This window comes from Homo sapiens, chromosome 4, assembly GCF_000001405.40.
Source record: "Homo sapiens chromosome 4, GRCh38.p14 Primary Assembly".
Lineage (NCBI taxonomy): Eukaryota > Metazoa > Chordata > Mammalia > Primates > Hominidae > Homo > Homo sapiens.
In genome coordinates this window covers 106160912-106181977 of record NC_000004.12, presented here as the reverse complement: position 1 = coordinate 106181977, position 21066 = coordinate 106160912, and the positions used below count along the sequence as shown (strand labels likewise).

The window sequence follows — 21066 nt, the reverse complement described above, 5'->3', positions numbered from 1 at the left end:
TTGTGAAAATAGCCTTACTGCCCAAAGTAATTTATAGATTCAATGCTATCCCCATCAAGCTACCAATGACTTTCTTTTCAGAATTGGAAAAAACTACTTTAAACTTCATATGGAACCAAAAAAGAGCCCACATAGCCAACACAATCCTTGGCAAGAAGAACAAAGCTGGAGGCATCATGCTTCCTGACTTCAAACTCTGCTACAAGGCTATAGTAACCAAAACAGCATGGTACTGTACAAAAACAGATATATAGACCAATAGAACAGAACAGAGGCCTCAGAAATAACACCACACATCTACAATCATCTGATCTTTAACAAACCTGACACACACAAGCAATGGGGAAAAGATTCCCTATTTAATAAATGGTGTTGGGATAACTGGCTAGCCATATGCAGAAAACTGAAACTGGACCCCGTCCTTACACCTTATACAAAAATCAACTCAAGATGGATCAAAGACTTAAACGTAAGACCTAGAACCATAAAAATCCTACAAGAAAACCTGGGCAATACCATTCAGGACATAGGCATGGGCAAAGACTTCATGTCTAAAACACCAAAAGCAATGGCAACAAAAGCCAAAATTGACAAATGGGATCTAATTAAACTAAAGAGCTTCTGCACAGCAAAAGAATCTATCATCAGAGTGAACAGGCAACCTACAGAATGGGAGAAAATTTTTGCAATCTATCCATCTGACAAAGGGCTAATATCCAGCATCTATAAAGAACTTAAACAAATTTACAAGAAAAAAGCCAAGAACCCCATCAAAAAATGGGCAAAGGATATGAACAGACACTTCTCAAAAGAAGACATTTATGCAGCCAACAGACATATGAAAAAATGCTCATCATCACTGGTCATTAGAGAAATGCAAATCAAAACCACAATGAGACCATCTCACACCAGTTAGAATGGTGATCATTAAAAAGTCAAGAAACAACAGATGCTGGAGAGGTTGTGGAAAAATAGGAATGCTTTTACACTGTTGGTGGGAGTGTAAATTAGTTCAGCCATTGTGGCGATTCCTCAAGGATCTAGAACTAGAAATACCATTTGACCCAGTAATCCCATTACTGGGTATATACCCAAAGAATTATAAATCATTCTACAAAAAAGAGACATGCACACATACGTTTATTGTGGCACTATTCACAATAGCAAAGACTTGGAACCAACCCAAATGTCCATCAATGATAGACTGGATTAAGAAATTGTGGCACATATATACCATGGAATACTATGCAGCCATAAAAAAGATGAGTTCATGTCCTTTGCAGGGACATGGATGAAGCTGGAAACCATCATTCTCAGCGAATTATCACAAGATAGAAAACCAAATACTGCATGTTCCCCCTCGTAAGTGGGAGTTGAACAATGAGGACACATGGACACAGAGAGGGGAACATCACACATTGGGGCCTGTGCGGGGTGGGGGCTAGGGGAAGGATAACATTAGGAGAAATACCTAATGTAGGTGACGGGTTGATGGGTGCTGCAGACCACCATGGCACATGTATACCTGTGTAACAAAACTGCACATTCTGCACATGTAACCCAGAACTTAAAGTATAATAAAAAGAAGGAGGAAAAAAAACATACTACTAGAGAAAATCACCTAACCACAAAGGAAGACTTTAAGAGAGGATAAAAGGAAGAAAGTGTCTACAAAACAAGCAAATAGCAAGTAATAAAATAACAGTAGCAAATTCTTACCTATTATTAATAATCTTGAATATAAATAGGTTTAATTTATCCAATTAAATTAATTATCCAATAAAAAGAGCTAGAATGGCTGAATTGATTTAAAAAAAAAGACACAACTATATGCTGTCTACAAGAAACTCTACCTTTGAAGACATGCAGAGACTAAAAGTGAAGGGATGAGAGAAGATTCAGAAACTATAGAGAGAGCTGAAGCAACTGTACATATATCAGATAAAATAGATTTTAATTCAATAATAGTTTTAAAAAAGACAAAAGAAGTCCATTATATGATGATAAAAGTCAATATAGCAAGAGGATATAACAATTATATATACACCCAACCAACTCTGGAGCATCAGAATATAAAACAAATATTAATTAACCTAAAGAGAGAGATTGAGTGCAGTGTTATAATAGAAGGGGACTCAGCACCCCACTTCTAGCAATACACAGGTCATCCAGACAGAAAGTCAACACAGAAACACTGGAGTTAAACTGTACTGTAGACCAAATGGACCTAACAGACATTTACAGAACGTTCCATCCAACAGCTGCAGAATACACATTTTTCTCAAAAGCACATGGAACATTCTCCAAGATGGACCCTGTGTTCACGAAACAAGTCTTAAATTTTCAAAAATCAAAATTATATCAAATTTATTTTTAGATCACAATGGAATAAAATTAGAAATCATTAAGAAAAGGAACATTAGAAACTACAGATTTATGGAAATCAAATGATGTGCTTCTGAATAGCAAATGGGTCAATGAAGAAATTATAAAGGAAATTATAGTATTCCTGTATTTAACAGAAAATGTGCAAATGAAAATGGAAATATACCAAAATATATGGGATACAGCAAAAACAGTTCTAAGAGGGTAGTTTATTGCAGTAAACACCTGCATCAGAAAAGTAGAAATAATTCAAATAAAGAACTTAACAATGCACCTCAAGGAAGTAGAAAAGCAGGAACAAACAAAACATTGGTAGAAGGAAAAATAATAAAGAGCAGAATAAAAACGAATGAAATTCAGGCTAAGAAAACAATACAAAAGATCAACAAAAGGAAAAGTTGGTTTTTGAAAAGATTAGCAAAATCAATAATCCTTTAGCTAGACTAGCAAAAAAGGGACTAGGCCCAAATAAATAAAATCTTATGTAAACTGAGACATTTTACTACAGAATGCAGACAAATTATACTACAGAATTACAAAGGATCATTAGAGACTATTATGAACAACTATACACTAACAAGTTGGAAAACCATGAAGAGATGAATAAATTTCTGGACACATACAGCTTAGCAGGATTGAACCATGAAGAAATAGAAAACCTGAACAGATCAACAATTAATAACAAGATAAGCAGCTGTAATAAAAAAGTCTCCCATCAAAGAAAAGTCCAGCAGTGGATGCCTATGTTGCTGAAAGAACTAATGCAAATTCTCTCAAATTCTTAAAAAAAAAATGAAGAGGAGAGGATACTTTCAAACTCATTCTAAATACCAATATCCCTGATGGACATAGATGAAAAATTCTCAACAAAAATACAAGCAACTGAATTCAACAACACGTTAAAAAAATCATTCACCATGGTCAAGGGGGATTCATCCCAGGAATTCAGTGATGATTCAACATATGCAAATCAATAAACATGCTACATCACTTAACAGGATCAAGAACAAAACCCATATGATTCTTTCAATAGATACTAGAAAAGTATTTGATAAAATTCAACATTCCTTCATGATAAAAATTCTCAAAGAACTGGGTATAAGAGGACCACACCTCAGAACAATAAAGGCCATATGTGACAACCCCACAGCTACTACACTGAATAGGGAAAAACCAACAGGCTTTTTTGTAAAATCTAGAAGAAAAAGATGCCTCCTTTCACTACTTTTATTCAACAGAGTACTGGAAATTCTAGACAGAGCAATTAGGCAACAGAAAAAAAAATTAACACATTCAATTGGAAAGAAAGAACTCAAATTATTCTTTTTCACAGATGACATGACCTTATATTTGGAAAACCCTCAAGACTTCACCAAAAAACTGTTAGAACAGATTTGCGAATTCAGTAAATTGGGATACAAAATCAACATATAAAAATCAGTAGCATTTCTTTAAACCAACAGTGAACAATCTGAAAAAGAAATCAAGGAAGCAGTTCTGCTTGAAATAGCTACAAATAAAATAAAATATGTAGGAACAAATTTAACAAAAGAAGTGAGAGATCTCCACAATGAGAACAAACACTAATGAAATAAATTATAGAGGGCAATAAAAAATGAAAAGATATCATGTGCTTATAGATTAGAAGAATTAATAATGTTAACATGTTCATGCTACCCAAAGTGATCTACAGGTTCAATGTAATTTCTATCAAAATACCAATGACACTCTTAACAGAATTCGAAAAAATAATCCTAAAATTTTTATGGAACCACAGAAGACCCCAAGTAGCAAAAGCAATCTTGAGTAAAGGGAAGAAAACTAGAGGCCTCACACTAATTCCCAAATATACTACAGAGCTGTAGTAACCAAAACAGCATTGTACTGACATAAAAACCTGCACATAGACCAATGAAATGGAATAGATAACTCAGAAATAAATTCACACATTTACAGCCAACTTACTTTTGACACAGGTGCCAACAATATACATTGGGGAAAAGACAGGTTTTTTTTAATAAATGGTGCTGGGAAAACTGTATCTCCATATGCAGACTAATGAAACTAGACCCCTGTCTCTCACCATATGCAAAAATTAAATCAAACTTTATTAAAGACTTAAATGTAAGACATGAAACTACTAGACCACGTTGTGGAAATGTCTCACAACATTGATCTACTAGGCAAGGATTTTTGAGGTCAGACCACAAAAACACAGGCAACCAAAGCCAAAGTAGACAAATAGAATTACATCAAGCTAAAATTCTTCACAGCAAAGGAAACAATCAACAGAGTGAAGAAACAACCTACAGAATGGGAGGAAATGTGCAAACTCTTCAACCAACAAAGGATTAGTAGCCAGAGTACATAAAGAACTCAAATGAATAGCCAAAAAACAATCCTATTTAAAAAACGGGTAGATGATCTGAATAGACATTTCTGAAAAGGAGACATAGAGACAGATGTGATGGTGTATACTTGTAGTCCCAAGTATTCAGGATGCTGTGATATAAGATCACTTGAGCCCAGAAGTTTCAGGCTTGTCGTAGGTCATAGTCTATGATCATGTCTGTAGTCATTACACTCTAACCTGGGTAACTTAGTGAGACCCTGTATTTAAAAAAAAAAAAAACACTTAAAAATGGCCAACAAGTATATGAAAAAGTACTCAATATCACTAATTATCAGAGAAATGCAAATCAAAACCCCAATGAAATTTTATCCAAGTTTAAAAGGCTATTACGAAGAAGAGAAAAATAATAGATGGTGCAGAAAGTGGGATGTTAGTACACTGTTAGTGGGAATGTAAATTAGTATAGCTACTATGAAAAACAGTATGGAGGTTCCTCAAAAAAGTAGAAATAGAAGCACCATAAGATCCAGCATTCCCACTGCTGGATATATGTCCAAAAGAAAGGAAATCAGGATATCGCAGAGATGTCTGCACTCTCATGTTTATTGCAGCACTATTCACAATAGCCAACATACAGAATCAACTTAAGTGTCTATCAATGAATGAATGAATAAAGAAAACGTACATAAAAACACAATGAATTACCATTCAGCGATAAAAGGCAATGAAATCCTGTCATTTGCAACAACATGGATGTAATTGGAGGTCATCACATTAAGTGAAATAAGCCAGGCACAGAAAGACTATGTCATATTCACAGTATCACATATTCTAACTCATACTTGGGAAACTAAATAAGTTGAGGTTGAGAGTAGATTGATAGTTGCTAGAGGCTAAGAAGAATGGGCTGGGGGATGGGGATGAAGAGAGAGGTTGGTTAATGGATACAAAATACAGTTAGACCGAAGGAATAAGCTCTGTTGTTCAATAGACAGCACAGTAGGATGACTATAGTTAACAATAATTTGTTATATATTTCAAAATAGCTAGATTTAAAATGTTCCCAACATAAGAAAATAAATATTCGAATTGGTAGATGTTCTGATTACCCTGTTTTGATCATTACACATTGTATGCATATAGCAAAATATCACATGTATTCCATATTTAATTAATACATAAACTATGTACAATTTTATGTATTAATTTAAAAATAACAGTAAAGTAGAAAAACCAAGCCATCTTCATGTTTTGTTCAAGTCTTTATAGGCAAAGTTTGGACCCTAGTCAAAAAAGGGCTCTAAGGAGCCTGGCTAGACTTTGGTTAAGGAGAGCATCTTTGTCAATACCCAGAAGTTACTTCAGATAACAAAAATATGACCTATTAAACCAAAGTAAATATGTTCAGCTTACTCTTAGTTATATGTAGAGCATGCACAGCCATTGTAATGTTGCCCAATATCAAGGAAGTATAATGGAGAGAATTTGGTGTAGAAAGAGGCAGCATTCTTCATTGTTGTGGTTGAAATATTTTTACTTTGTCAAATTTTACAAAAGTGACCATTTTAATGGTAAATATGGAGAGGCATTCTCTGGAGTAGTAGAGTCACTGAGTCTTGAGACTCAGAGCCAATAGGCATAGCAGAGAGCAGGAGTGAGTGAATGTATATAGTTATACAGGCCCCTCCTATGGTCATATCTGGGAAGGCTGGCAAGGATGAGCTTAGAAGATCAGAGAATTATCTGGAAAAACTCAATGTTCCCAGAAGGAGAAATATCTTACTTAGGAGTCTTCTAACAAAATAACCATGTCCCCAAATTACCTTATAGTTAATCCACCAGTCACTAACCCCAGCCCACATAAAAAAAAAAAAAAAAAAATTCAATCTGATTTTTGGTGCTGTTCTTGTAAATATGTAGAATCAAAGATCACAAAATCTCTGAGGAAAGCTTCCAATTAAGATACAGAATAGTATAAACTGAAAAAATAATTTATTCAGAAAGATAACTATGAGAAAATTAACTATGAAAAAACAGAACTTTTAAACATAACAATGAAAATTGTTGAAAATCTGGAAATTGATTTTTTTTTCTTTTTTTTTTTTTTGAGAGAGTCTTGCTCTGTAGCCAGGCTGGAGTACAAGCGTGATACAGGCGTGATCACTGCTCACTGCAGCCTTCACCTCCCAGGTTCAAGCAATTCTCGTGTCTCAGCCTCCTAAGTAGCTGGGGTTACAGGTGCACTCCACCACATTTGGCTAATTTTTGTATTTTTGTTTAGTAGAGACAGGGTTTCACCATGTTGGCCAGGCTGGTCTCAAACTCCTGGCCTCAAGTGATCCTCCTACCTTGGCCTCCCAAAGTGCTAGGATTATAGGCATGAGCCACCGTGCCTGGCCTGGAAATTGAAATTGATATAGAAATGCAATGATGTTTGTGATGAAAATGTAAGATGATAAAATTTAGGAAATCTCACAGAGTATGAAACAAAAATACACGTGGAAAGTAAGAACAAAATGACAAAATTATTAGAAATTAAATTCAGGAAGTTCAAGATTCTTATAGAATAGAAGATTTAAAAAGAAACAAATTATCACAAACATCAAAAACATACTTTTTGTGTAACTGAAGGACTACTCAGGGATCCACCAAATGCCCAGCACAATGAAGTATATGCGTAAGTATATCACCATGAAATTTCATAATACAGGGATCCTAAAACTTAACAGAGAAACAGAAAATCATGTACAAATAATCCTAAATCAGAATTTTATCAGACTTCTCAGCAGCAGACATTGGAGCTCTACCTTTAATAACTCAGAAGAAAAAAATTCAACCCTAGAATGCTGTATCTGGTCAAACTATCAGTCAAGGGCAGATTAATGATATTCATTGAAGGTTTTTGAATAGTTTACCTCCTGTGTACTCTTTCTTTGTAGCTGCTGGATAATGTGTTTCATCAAAATGAGAAGTAAATATGAAAGAGTGGTAAATAATGTCTTACCCAAAAAGTTAGGAATCAAATATAGGGGATAGCCTAAGAGAATTGGATAATGGTAAAGAGAAGTTCCAGGACAATAGCTATGCAATAAATTTCAGAAGGAATTTATAGCCATTAAAGTGAGAGAAGAGCAGGCTCAGGAAAGCTGTCTTTTCCATCTATCCTTGCCCAAATGGTTGTGTTTATCATATTGAAAATAGTTCAGTATTTCTGAAAGATCTAATACTAATGGGTGCCAATGAAGAAATTAATAGATTTAGAGAAGTTATTTTACCCAGAGTTGCAAAATACCTCATGGAGCTTTAATTCAAACCTGGGAAACCATAATCCATGTTTTATTCACAATGCATTGTCTCAATAATTATAATGCAAGGTTAAAAAACAGTAGTGCCATGTAATGAGAGATTACTTTGTAGGAGTAATTGTGCATTTTAATGTACACTTCACAAAGTACTTTTGCATTATATTTTGATTATGATAATGTGCTTTGGAAGGGTTTTGAGATGAGAGGTGACATGAGTCAAGTGAAATGGAAAATGAGATATCTGTTAGAACTAACCATCAGGGTAGAATCGGGATGGATGCCAGTACATCATCAAGATTCACTGTAAACCTTTTATGGTGTTGATGGGATGTCTTGGAAGCAGATAAAAATAACTTTTCCAATGCCAGTGATTGAAGGACTGCACTACAACCTTTACTCTAGATCACTGACTCACCTTCAAACTTTGCTGGTGACAGATGTGTCAAATTGATTTGAGCCCTGCAAATACAAAATCTATGGACTGAAACCCTTTCCTTTGGAAACTAAACTGTGTTAAGTAGACAGACTTTAGATGGTTGAGTATTTTCTCTCATTAGCTGCCAAATTTTTATCTTAACTATTTGAATTGAAAGTTTTCTAAAATGAATTGTGCTATCTCTTTTTTCTTAAACAGGCTAGAGAAACCTGTCTTAAACCTTGATTTTTCTTCTAGTTTGTGTTTGTATTTTCTTTGTGAAATAACAAGTTGATATTGTTAGAGAGCTTCACTATATTATCCATTGCCCAAATAAATAGGCCCATGCCTCAAAGCTTGTTTCACTCTGTTTTATAGTTTTTATATTAGGAATAGCATATGAGGTGATGAAATCTGACCTCTTTTTGTAGCCATGGAAGTAATGAGCTGTGAAGTTGGTAAACATCACTAAGGAATGCCTAATTGAGTAACTGGTCTTATCAGACTATCTTTTCATATTCCAAATCTAAGTTAGGAAGTAACAAAAGATGCCTTATAACCTTATAGTAACTTCAGACTTCTACTCATAGTAACATACTTAACAAATCACTTAACTTCCTTGTGTCTTAGTTTCTTTGTCTTTAGCAGAAATAGAAGGTGGGAAGAAGAATTACGATACCTGTCTTTAATAAAATCATTGTAAGAATTAAATGGATTAAGTGAAAGTATACAATACCTGTCACATAATAGATGGTCAGTGTTACCTTCTTTTTCCCTCTTCCAGATTTCTTCACCTTACCACAGCAGATAACTCTAAATGATTACTCATGCACTATCCACAGAATTTACTTAATGCCTATTTCCTTTTCCCCTTACAAGCCCTTCATTTCAAAAAGAGGGGGAGAAAAAAAGAACTTACCACTTTCTGACATGTAATATATTTTTCTCCATTGCCTGCCTGAGCCCGACACTTGGACTTTTACAGAGGAAATGAGAATATATGCCATTTGTACTTTTAGAAATATGGAAAGATAAAAACTAGTCAGTGCTAAACTCCATCACAGTCAACTTCTTGAATTTCTCCGCCTTTCTGTGATCTTTCTACTTTCGCCATAGAGGACTGGCTAACTTCTCATCAGGACTGTTGGCCTCCTAAAGAGATACAGTCTCATCCAAAACACAAACAATATAGAGTTGTAGTAACCTTTCTATGTATATTACCTCTGCATTAAAGATGCTTACATTTCAAACATGAGAAACAAAAGGAAATCTAATATGAAAGTGTTTCTATTTTATCTTTTAGTCAAGTGCATTTAAACCTTACTTGATTAAACTTTAAAACCTTTCTTCATTTAACTCAAGAGATTATTAAAGAATGGAGAAATGCTAGTTGGGCATGGTGGATGATCCCTGTAACCCTAGAATTTTGGGAGGCCGAGGCAGGTGGATTGCCTGAGGTCAGGAATTCAAGAACAGCCTGGGCAACATGGCGAAACCCCATGTCTACTAAAAATACAAAAAATTAGCCGGGTGTTGTGGCATAGGCCTGTAATCCCAGCTTCTAGGAAGGCTGAGGCACGAGAATTGCTTGAACCTGGGAGGCCAAGGTTGCAGTGAGCCGTGATTGCACCACTGCACTCCAGCCTAGGAGACAGAACAAGACTCTATCTCAAAAACAGGAAAAAAAAAATTGAGAAATGCTGAATTGAGATTCTGAAAAATTTTTTCTGATAATTTTATATCTTATTTAATGGCAGTAAAACTGTCAGTTCACTTTACTAGAATTCATTCTGAATCAGCAATCAACATCTTCTAAATCTTTTGTCTACCTATTCCCAAATTGTATTCTCCCCCTATAACTTTTGTTTCACATTGGAAAAGTGGAAACATCAGCATAAATTTGGCAGATTTTTAAATAAGGAGATGTGTTCTATTCTGTGGCATTTAAATAATGATACTCTGAAATATATACATATGTATATGTAGATAATTCCAAGTAAAAGACACACATGAAAACATAAGTAGATACATTTACAAATATATATAAGCAAATTATACCAAATATTTCCATCAATCCAGTCATAAATATGCTGATTAATATATACATTGTTTTTTTTACTGACATTTTTTCTAATAACTTATCATCTTAGCCATATTTAGATATATTCACTTAGGAGAGATGGTGTTTATTACATTAAAAGAGCAATCTAAATTCTATACATTTGCTTTTTTAAAACATTTCTATCTAGAAATTGACATTGAACGCTGTGTGAGAGAATCTATCAACCTGTTTTGTTGGACTCCTAAAAGTGCTACTTACAGACAGCATGCTCAACCTCCAAAGCCATCTTCTGACAGCAGTGGAGGCAGAAGTTCGGCACCTTATTTCTCTGCTGAGTGTCCAGATCCTCCAAAGACAGATCTGGTATGTATTTGCGGATTTAGTTTACAAACTCTAAAAGGAGATGGATGTTAAAATTAATATACCCTAGTATCTTTATTGTTCTTAATGGTGTCATTTATGTCCTTTTAATGTAGATATTTTCTAACACATGATTTGATTCATAGAAATATTCCAGAAAACCATTATATCTATTTGGTTATAGAGTTAGGAAGATTATTTTGACGTACTCCTCCAGGTAGCAAGTTTTGCTTTTTTTGTATGCATTTGTAGTATCTGTTTATATATCAATTGGTTATATAGTGAGAGATTACAGAAGCAAAGAAAGAATTAAAAAAATAGAAAAAGAGTTGTTAATAGAGCAGGAACTTATTGTTGGTTGACAGAAGAAACAGCATTTGTAAAACTATGCCATGTAGGTGTTTCAACATTATCATTCTTACTAAACACAGTTTATAAATATGGTCAACAAAGCTTTCAGTTATAATAATTCATACATTTCGAATATTCTAATATTATCATAGTATCATAATTATTTCCACGAAATTGAATTTCTGTTAATATGTATGTATTGCTTTTCAGATATGGCACTTTCTATGATTTTATTTATGTCCCCAAATATATGGGTACATTCATTTGTTCATATATTTCCATCACAATCAAATTATATTAAGGTCACTTATAAACATGACCCTGCTTATGATTGAATACAGAGCAATTTCAATAATTACAATCTCTGCCTCTAGATATACAGATGATAGAGAGGGAAACAGCTAAATGAATATATATATGAAAGATTATAAGATATTTCTAAAATATCCTGAGAGAGAAAAGAATAAGAACCCACACTTATAAATAAATATTTGCATTATAGTTTTCCAAAAGTAGTAGTTGTCTTCTGCCTGCCTGGAAGAAAGTAAGTTCTCAAATACTAGAAATATTCAGCTGAAGATATTTCCATGTAATGAATTTTGGTGAGAGAACTAATTTGTCAGTAAATGGTAAATGTTGTTCTAGATCAGGGATCCCCAACCCCCAGGCCACAGACTGGTACCAGTCACAGGAACCAGGCCATACAGCAGGAGGTGAATGGCAGGCACACCAGCAAAGCTTTATCTGTATTTACGGCCACTGCTCCCTTACTTGCATTACCACCTGAGCGCTGCTTCCTGTCAGATTAGCAGCAGCATTACAGTCTCATAGGAGCACAAATCCTCTTGTGAACTGCGCATGTGAGGGATCTAGGTTGCATATTCCTTATGAGAATCTAATGCCTGATGATCTGTCACTATCTCCCATTATCCCCAGATGGGACCATTAAGTAGCAGGAAAACAAGCTCAGGGCTCCCACTGATTGTACATTATGAAGAGTCATGTAATTATTTCATTATATATTATGATGTAATAATAATAGAAATAAAGTACACAATAAATGTAATATGCTTGAATTATCCCAAAACCATCTGCCACACCCTGGGTCCATGGAAAAATTGTCTTCCATGAAGACAGTCCTTGGTGCCAAAAAAGTTGAGGAACACTGTTCTAGATGACCTGTAAGATAGCTTGAAACTTTGAAATTCAGCAGTTCTAAATACAAACTTATTTAATAGTTTCTTTGTTTCAAATTTTGAATTATATCCTCTTTATAGCAGAAAAACATTTGTTAAAAAGACTGACTTTTCCATTTTATTGCCTTTGTTCCTTTCACAGATTAGTTGGTTGTATTTATGTGGGTTGATTTCTGAACTCTCTATTCTTTTTCATTGATGTTTGTCTGTTCTTTTGCCAATACTATGCTGTTTTGATTTATAATTTGTCTTGAAGCTCAGAAGTGTCAGTCCTCCAACTGTTCTTTTTAATACTGTGTTGGTTATTCTGAGTCTTTGTTTCCAAATAAACTTTAAAATTAGTTTGTTGATACCTACAAAATAACTTGCTGCTATTTTGATTGGGATTACATTGAATCTACATATCAATTTGGGAAGAACTGTTGACAATACAGGTTGATTGTCTCTTTTCAAAGATGCTTGGGACCAAAAGTGCTTCAGATATTTTATTTGTTCTGATTTTGGAATATTTGCATTATACTTACTGATTGAGCATTCCTAATCCAAAAATACAAAATCCAGATTGCTCCAATGAGCATTTCCTTTGACTATCATCTTGGTACTCAGAATGTTTCCGATTTTGGAACATTTTGGATTATGGATTTTGGAACTAGAGATATTCAACCTTTATTGAGTCTCCTATCCAGGAAATGGAATATTTTTTCATTTATCTAGTTGTTGGATTTCTTTCATCAGATTTTTATAGTTTTTCTCATTTAGATCTTATATATATATAGTTAGACTTATATCTAAGTATTTGATTTTGAGGAATGCTGATGTAAGTGGTATTATTTTTTATTTCAAATTCCATTTGTACATTGCAGGTATACAGGAAAGCGTTTGACCTTTTATATTAACTTCGAGTCCTGCTACCTTGCTGTAGTTACTTATTAGCTCCAGTTTTTTGCTCAGTTCCTTCAGATTTTCTACATATATGATCACATTATTTGAAAAATGGACAGTTTTATTTCTTCCTTGCCAATTAGTACACCTCTTATTTTCTTTGTTTGTGTTATTGCATTAGATACAACATCTAATATAATGTTAAAAAGAAATGGTGAGAGGACATCCTTACCTTGTTCCTGATCTTAGCAGGAAGGCTTCTAGGGTGTCACCAGAAAGTATTGTGTGAGCTGTAGGTTTTTGTAGATGTTTTTTACAAGTTGAGTAAGGTCTCTTTTATTCCCAATTTGCTGAGAGATTTTTTATCATGAATGCATGTTGGATTTTGTAGAATGTGTTTCCTGTATCTATTTGTATGATCATGTGAATTTTCTTCTTTAGCTTGTTGGTGCAAGAATTACATTAATTAATTTTCATATGTTAAAACAGCCTTGCATGCCTGGGATAAATTCTACTTGTTCATGGTATATAATTTGTTTTATACATTGTTGGATTTGACTTTGATAATATTTTGTTGAGGATTTTGGTATCTATGTTCATGAGAGATACTGTTTTCTTGTAATGTCTTTGTCTAGTTTTAGTATTTAGGGTAATACTGGCCTCATAGAATGAGTTAGGACATATTCGTTTTGCTTCTGTCCTCTCAAAGAAATTGTAGACAGTTGGCATAATTTCTTCCTTCAGTCTTTAATAGAATTTACCAGTGAATTCATCTGGGTCTGATACTTTCTGTTTGGAAATGTTCTTAATTATTGATTGAATTTCTTTAATAGATGCAGGCCTATTCAGATTATCTAATTCTTCTCATATAAGTTTTGTCATATTGTGTCTTTCAAGCCATTTTATCCAGGCTATCAAATTTATGGGCATAGAATGGTTCATAGTATTCCTTTGTTATCATTTTATTGTCTATGGGATCTGTACTGAGATCTCTTTCATTTCTGCTATTTGTAATTTGAATAATCTTTTTTTTCTTAGCTGGTTAAAGGCTTATTGATTTTATTCATCTTTGCAAGGAGCCAGCTTTTGGTGTCATTGATCTCTTTGATTTACTGTTTTCAATTTCATTGATTTCTGCTCTGATTTTTATTTTTCTTCTACTCACTTTGAACTTAATTTGCTGTTCTTTTTCTAGTTTTCTAAGGTGGAAGCTTAGATCATTGATTTTAGAACTTCCCTTATTTCTAATATATACATTCAAAGCTGTACATTTTCCTCTGAGCATTGTTTTTGATGCATTCCACCAATTTTGATGTTGTGTTTTCATTTCCATTTAGTTAATATTTTGACCTATGTGTTAATTAAAGGTGTTCTGTTTCGTGTCTAAGTATGTTGGTATTGATTCTCTAAGACTAATAGCTTGTAGCGAATTCAACCAATTGTATATATATATAAATATATATATATACAGTTCTATATATATATATACAGTTCTATATATACAGTTCTATATATATAGTTCTCTCTCTCTCTCTCTATATATATATATACAGTGTGTATATAATACACACACACACACCCCTATATATATGAATAAGTTTATCTCTTTCTTTCAAGTTATTATGTTTCCAATTGTTTATTGTCTATTGCTTTGGACAGAACCTCTAGTTTAAGAGTAGGTAGACTTACTTGTTCCCGAGTTTAATGAAAATGCTTCTAATTTCATCATTTAAGTTTGACGTTTTTTATACTCTTTATTGAGACAATTATTGTACCATCTTTTCTGTATTTGAGTGTTTATCATGAATGTTAAATTTTATCAAATGCTTATTTTGTATTAATTTGGGATTATTTCATCTTTTATTGTGATAATGTATTATATTATTACAGTTTCTTATATTTAATGGTCATTACATTCCTGAGATAAAGTCTACTTGGTCACTAACAAAAAGACATACTGGCTATATTTGATTTGCTAGTTTTTAAAAAAATTTATGCACCTATGTTTATAGATTAGATAAGTCTATAATTTTCTTTTGCTTTTTGTCCTTGTCAGGCTTTGGTCTTAAGATTATATTACCTATTGGGTACTGTGGTCACTACCTGGCTGACAGGAATCACCCTAAACCTCAGCATCATACAATATACCCTTGTGACAAACCTGCACATGTACTCCTAAATCTAAAATAAAAGTTGAAATTATTTTTTAAATTTTATTTATTTCTCCTGTCTGCTATTTAATCATTTTCTATAAAAGGAATTACCTCTTTTACATAAATTGAGGAAACTTGTCTGAAAAACCACTTCTGTAAGTTCATGTTGTTTGAAAAGTATTTCTATTTAGTTAACATGTTTATTTTCTCAAAATTTTTTCTAAAAGTACCTATTTTGTTTAATTTTTTATGTTTATAGAATTCTGTACATAAAATATTTTTGATTTTTGTTCTTTTTTATCTGAAATGTCTACATTTTTAATATTGTTTATTTGAAGGTTCAAATATATTAGTATAATAGAAAGCAGATACAAAAATAATGTATGCATGCTGTAAAAAGAATATTTATTAAAATTAGCATAATCAGAATTCAGGTTCATATTATATATTCTTATGTCTGAGTCAAAAACAGATTTTAAAAGCGGCTTTTATAAACTGAGATAAATTGTACTCTATTACTAGTAGAATGGAAGGTTAAAAGTGGATATTAGAAGAAAAATCAATTTTACTTTCATTTCTGCATGCATCTATTGTATTTATTCCCTGAAGCAGAGTTTTATAATAGAAAAAGCATGAGCTTTGCTGTTAGATGGACTTGGTTTCAAATTTCAAGCCTGTTCCTTTTTCTTCATATAATCTTGAATAATTCACATAACCTCTCTAGTTCCCTATTTGTAATCATTAGCATACTTAAAATAATACCACCCTGGCAGGGTTACTTTAATAATGATATACGTAAAGCTCCTAATTCAGTGTCTAGTACATAATAAGCACTCCAAAAGAGTAAAAAATCATTATTACAAGTTTAGTAATTAACAGTTAATTTTTTTTACTTTGCAGTCTGCCCAAGAACTTTATGACAGTCTTCTATATCTAAATAATCTGTACAAAGGACATGATGTTCTAGTATTCTGTTTTTCCTCAGCTATGTTAGCTCATTACTATCACTTTACATTTAGAAACCACTATAAAAACAGTGTGGAGAGTAAGGATTAGGGAGGCTGGCTTTTCAAAGAAGGAATCTTTCTGGCAGTTTTACCTCAGTAAATTCAGTTTAAAATTTCACTTTGACCTTTACTTCTTAGTCTTAATACTATTTTCATCCCTAAACTAAAGAATTGCCAAAATAATTATTTCATCTAGTGCCAAAGTCTTTCCCATCAGTTTTCTCTTAAATAGCTAAAACTGCTTGAGAATTCTGACTGAAGTTTATTAATTGAAGAAAATAATAAGTAAAGATATGTAATCTTGGTTAATAGATTGAATGTTTTTGAACGGAATGTATTTTGGGAAAATCTCTACTTAATCTTTGATTTTTTAAAATCTATTTCTTTGTTAAATTTTAATCACATATTTATGACTGGTATTACTTACATGCAGTATGTAAATGAGCAATAATTATTGTTAAGTTCTTTGAATACCTCATTATGAATACATATACTAACCCAAGATTTTATTAAATTAATTTTTTTATTTACATAATGCTAACTGCTTGTATATACTATTACCATAAAAATGATAGCATTTATTGCATTACCTTCAGTTTATAAGGTATGCTTTCAGTATAGATTAAACATGAGTTTACTGTAGATAAAATCTTATTTAAAGCACATTTTTATACTTTTGGTTCAAATAGTTTCCAAAATTCAAATATAAATGCCAGTCTACAAAGTTTCATCTCAATAATAACAACACTACTTTTTAGATTATGAACAGTTTAAAAATAACACCACAGTGCTTTATGATTTTCAGGTACCCAGATACATTATTTTTATCTCCCCCTAAACAAATCTCTGAGATGTTTGATCCCCATTTTAGAGGTAAAGAGACTCAGAAACCTTACTTAATACAAGTTAACTTATAAATTGCCATTTTATCAGTACTGTAAATGTGTTTTTCACTCTTATTTATTGAAACATATATATTAATATATATCATATCCTACTGTACACTTGGCTTTTCAAGCATTTTTTAATTTTTCTCTATTTCTCTAGAAAATACATTAACATATACTCATGCAATCATCTGCATACCTACTCTTAAATAAGAAGAAATCTTTTTACAGTAAGTATAAGGAAAAGTACAATTATGTATCCTTTTTTTTGCTAACATATTGAGGGTAAAATGTTAACCTAAAGGAGAACTAAACACTGTCTGCTGAAATTATTTAGAGCAATAGATGCATTGAAAACAAAAAGGTTAGCTTTGCATCTGTTCTTTTTACTGGTTCAATTCTTCTGCCATTATCTAATGTTCTGTAGGCAATTTTAGAGCTATTATGATAGGCACAATTTTAGTGAAAGATGAAGACTAGAAACCCTGGCAGCTACATGTAGGGGTAAAATGTATCAGCCCTCTAGAAGTTAAGTAGAAGACATTTTATAGAAAATCATATCTTTTGAAATTTGTTTTTCCATAGTAATGTATAATCTTATTCTACCATTGGCCCAAAAAATAAGCAAATAATAATAATAATCCAACATAAGAAAATAAGGGATAGTTGGATTTGGGGATAGGATATCAAAAGACCTTGATTTCCTGGATTAAAATATGAATTTTTCTTTCTATATTCCAAGTGTAGAGAAGAAGAAAGGCAAACAAATTCCCAGACAGAGATTGATATGGTTTGACTGTGTTCCCACCCAAAGTCTGATCTTGAATTGTAGTAATTCCCATGTGTCAAGGACAGGACCAGGTGGAGTAATTGAATAATAGGGGCAATTTCCCCTATACTGTTCTCATAATAGTGAGTGAGTTCTCATAAGATCTGTTGATTTTCTAATGGACTTTCTCCTTTGCTTGGCTCTCATTCTCTTTCTTGCCACCAAGTAAAGAAGGACATGTTTGCTTCCCATTCTACCATGATTGTAAGTTTCCTGAAGCCTGCCAAGCATTGCTGAACTGTGAAACCTCTTTCCTTTATAAATTACCCAGTTTGGGGTATGTCTTTATGAGCAGTATGAGAACAAACTAATATATTAAATAGGTACTGGTACAGTTGGGTGCTGCTATAAGGATACCGAAAATGTGGAAGTGATTTTGGAACTGGATAACAGGCTGAGGTTGGAACAGTTTGGAGGGCTCAGAAGAAGACATGAAAATGTGGGAAAATTTGGAGCTTCCTAGAGACTTGGAATACTCAGAAGACAGGCAGATGTGGGAAAATTTGGAACTCCCTAGAGACTTATTGAATGGCTTTGACCAAAATGCTGATAGTGATATGGATGATGAAGTCCAGGCTGAGATGGTCTCAGATGGAGATGAGGAACTTTTTGGGAACTGGAGTAAAGGTCACGCTTGCTATGCTTTAGCAAAGAAACTGGCAGCATTTTGCCCCTGCCCTGGAAATATGTGGAACTTTGAACTTGAGAGAGATGATTTAGGGTATCTGGCAGAAGAAATTTCCAAGTGGCAAAGTGTCCAAGAGGAAGCAGACCATAAAAGTTTGGAAAATTTGCAGCCTGATAATGTGAAGAAAAGAAAAACCCATTTCCTGGGGAGAAATTCAAGCCAGCTGCAGACATTTGCATAAGTAATGAGGAGCCAAATGCTAATCACCAAAGCAATGGGGAAAATGTCTCCAGGGCATGTCAGAGACCTTCACAGCAGCCTCTCCCATCATAGGCCTGGAGACCTAGGACAGAAAAATGGTTTCCTAGGCTGCTGCTATTCTGTGCAGTGTCAGAACATGTTCGCCTGTGTCCCAGTGACTTCAGCTTCAGCTGTGGCTGAAAGAGGCCAAGGCACAGCTCAGACCCTTGCTTCTAAGGGTGTAAACCCTAAGCCTTGCAGTTTCCCACATGGTGTTTGGCCTGTTGGTGCATAGAAGTCAAAAATCGAGGTTTGAGAACCTCCACCTAGATTTCGGAGGATGTATGGAAATGCCTGGATATCCAGGCAGAATTTTGCTGGAGAGGCAGAGCCCTAACAGAGAACCTCTGCTAAGGCAGTGCAGAAGGGAAATGTTGGGTCAGAACTCCCACACAGAGTCCCCACTGGGGCACTGCCTAGTGGAGCAGTGAGAAGAGGGCCACCATCCTCCAGACCCCAGAATGGTAGATCCACCAACAGCTTGCACTATGCATCTGGAAAAGCTGCAGACAGTCAACACCATCCTATGAAAGCAGTGGAAAGTGGGGCTATATCTTGCAAAGCCACAGAGGCGGGGCTGCCCAAGGCCATGGGTGCCCATCTCTTGCATCAGCATGACCTGGATGTGTGACATGAAGTCAAGGGAGATCATTTTGGAGCTTTAAGATCTGGCTGCCCTGCTGAATTTTGGACTTGCATGAGGCCTGTAGCCCTGTTGTTTTGGCCAATTTCTCCCAATTGGAATGGGTATATTTTTCTATTGCCTGTACCCCCATTGTATCTAGGAAGTAACTAACTTGCTTTTGATTTTACAGTCTCGTAGGTAGAAGAGACTGCTTTGTCTCAGATGAGACTTTGGACTGTGGACTTTTGAGTTAACCCTGAAATAAGGCTTTGGGAGACTGTAGAAAAGGCATAACTGTGGTTTGAAATGTGAGGACATGAGATTTGGGAGTGGCTGGGATGGAAACATGTAATCTAACTTTTAAATAAATGGAATCATAGCATTTGTGTTGTTTCATGTTTCATACTTGCATCCTACAGTTACCATGGCTTCCGGTTATTAGCTCCAGCCCAAACTTCTCTCTTTTTTTGCTTAGCAATATGTCTTGAAAGTCTTCTTACATACACACATACACACACACACACACACACACACACACAGACACACCTAATTCTGGTTAACAAGCTGCAAACCATTCCTTGGTACAGAAATGTTATCATGGTAGTAATACTTAATATTATTTGTATATCTCAAATGCAAATAGCTGAGCTAATAATGTCTCCTTAGTTTACAACACATTACAATTATTGGACTGGGTCAGACACTTTCTCCTATTTCCTTTTACTTCTTTCTTTCTGCCCTGACCCTCACTCCTTGGTCTCTCTGCACAATCATTTATAAAACAGTGGTTTGCAAATGTTGATGTATATTATCCTCTCCAGGAAAGCTAAGAAAAAATGAGGCCCCTCTTGTTTAAAAGATAGGCCCTGAGCCTTTGTGTTTTTAGCTTGTTCTCCGTGAATTCTAATACTGGTTGCTCTAATATAGTTTATATAGGTTTCTGAATATGTACAAACCCTTTTAAGTTAAATATATATGCATTTATTTGTATTTGTAGGGATCTTTTCTAATTTTTTTATTGTGATAAAAATACACACAACGTAAAATTTACCACCTTAACCATTTTAAGTGTACAGTTAGTGGTATTAAATACATTCATAATGTTGTGCAACCATCACCACCATCTATCTCCATAACTCTTTTCATCTTGTAAAACTGCACCTCTGTACCCATTCCATTGTAATTCCTTATTCTCCCCTCCTCTCCACAACCACAATTCTACTTCTGTCTCTATGATTTTGACTACTCTAAGTACCTCATAGAGTTGGAATCATATAGTTTTGGTCAGATTTTTTTTTTCTTCTTAAGGCTAAATAATACCTATTTTG

The 21066-nt window shown here is 34.0% G+C and overlaps 1 protein-coding gene across 21 annotated transcripts in view; it reads left to right on the top strand.

The window, feature by feature from the left end:
* TBCK (TBC1 domain containing kinase) overlaps positions 1 to 21066 on the top strand; it is a 275085-nt gene that overhangs the window by 134706 nt on the left and 119313 nt on the right. For 16 of the 21 annotated variants that reach the window (NM_001163436.4, NM_033115.5, NM_001163437.3 and 13 more), the window contains one exon: positions 10708 to 10883. In NM_001163436.4, the coding sequence (NP_001156908.2) occupies positions 10708 to 10883 (176 nt within the window). Of the gene's footprint in view, positions 1 to 10707; positions 10884 to 17516; positions 17587 to 18351; positions 20121 to 21066 lie in introns of those variants that run through there. The other 5 variants (XR_007057984.1, XR_938800.4, XR_007057983.1 and 2 more) reach the window with 3 other exon arrangements.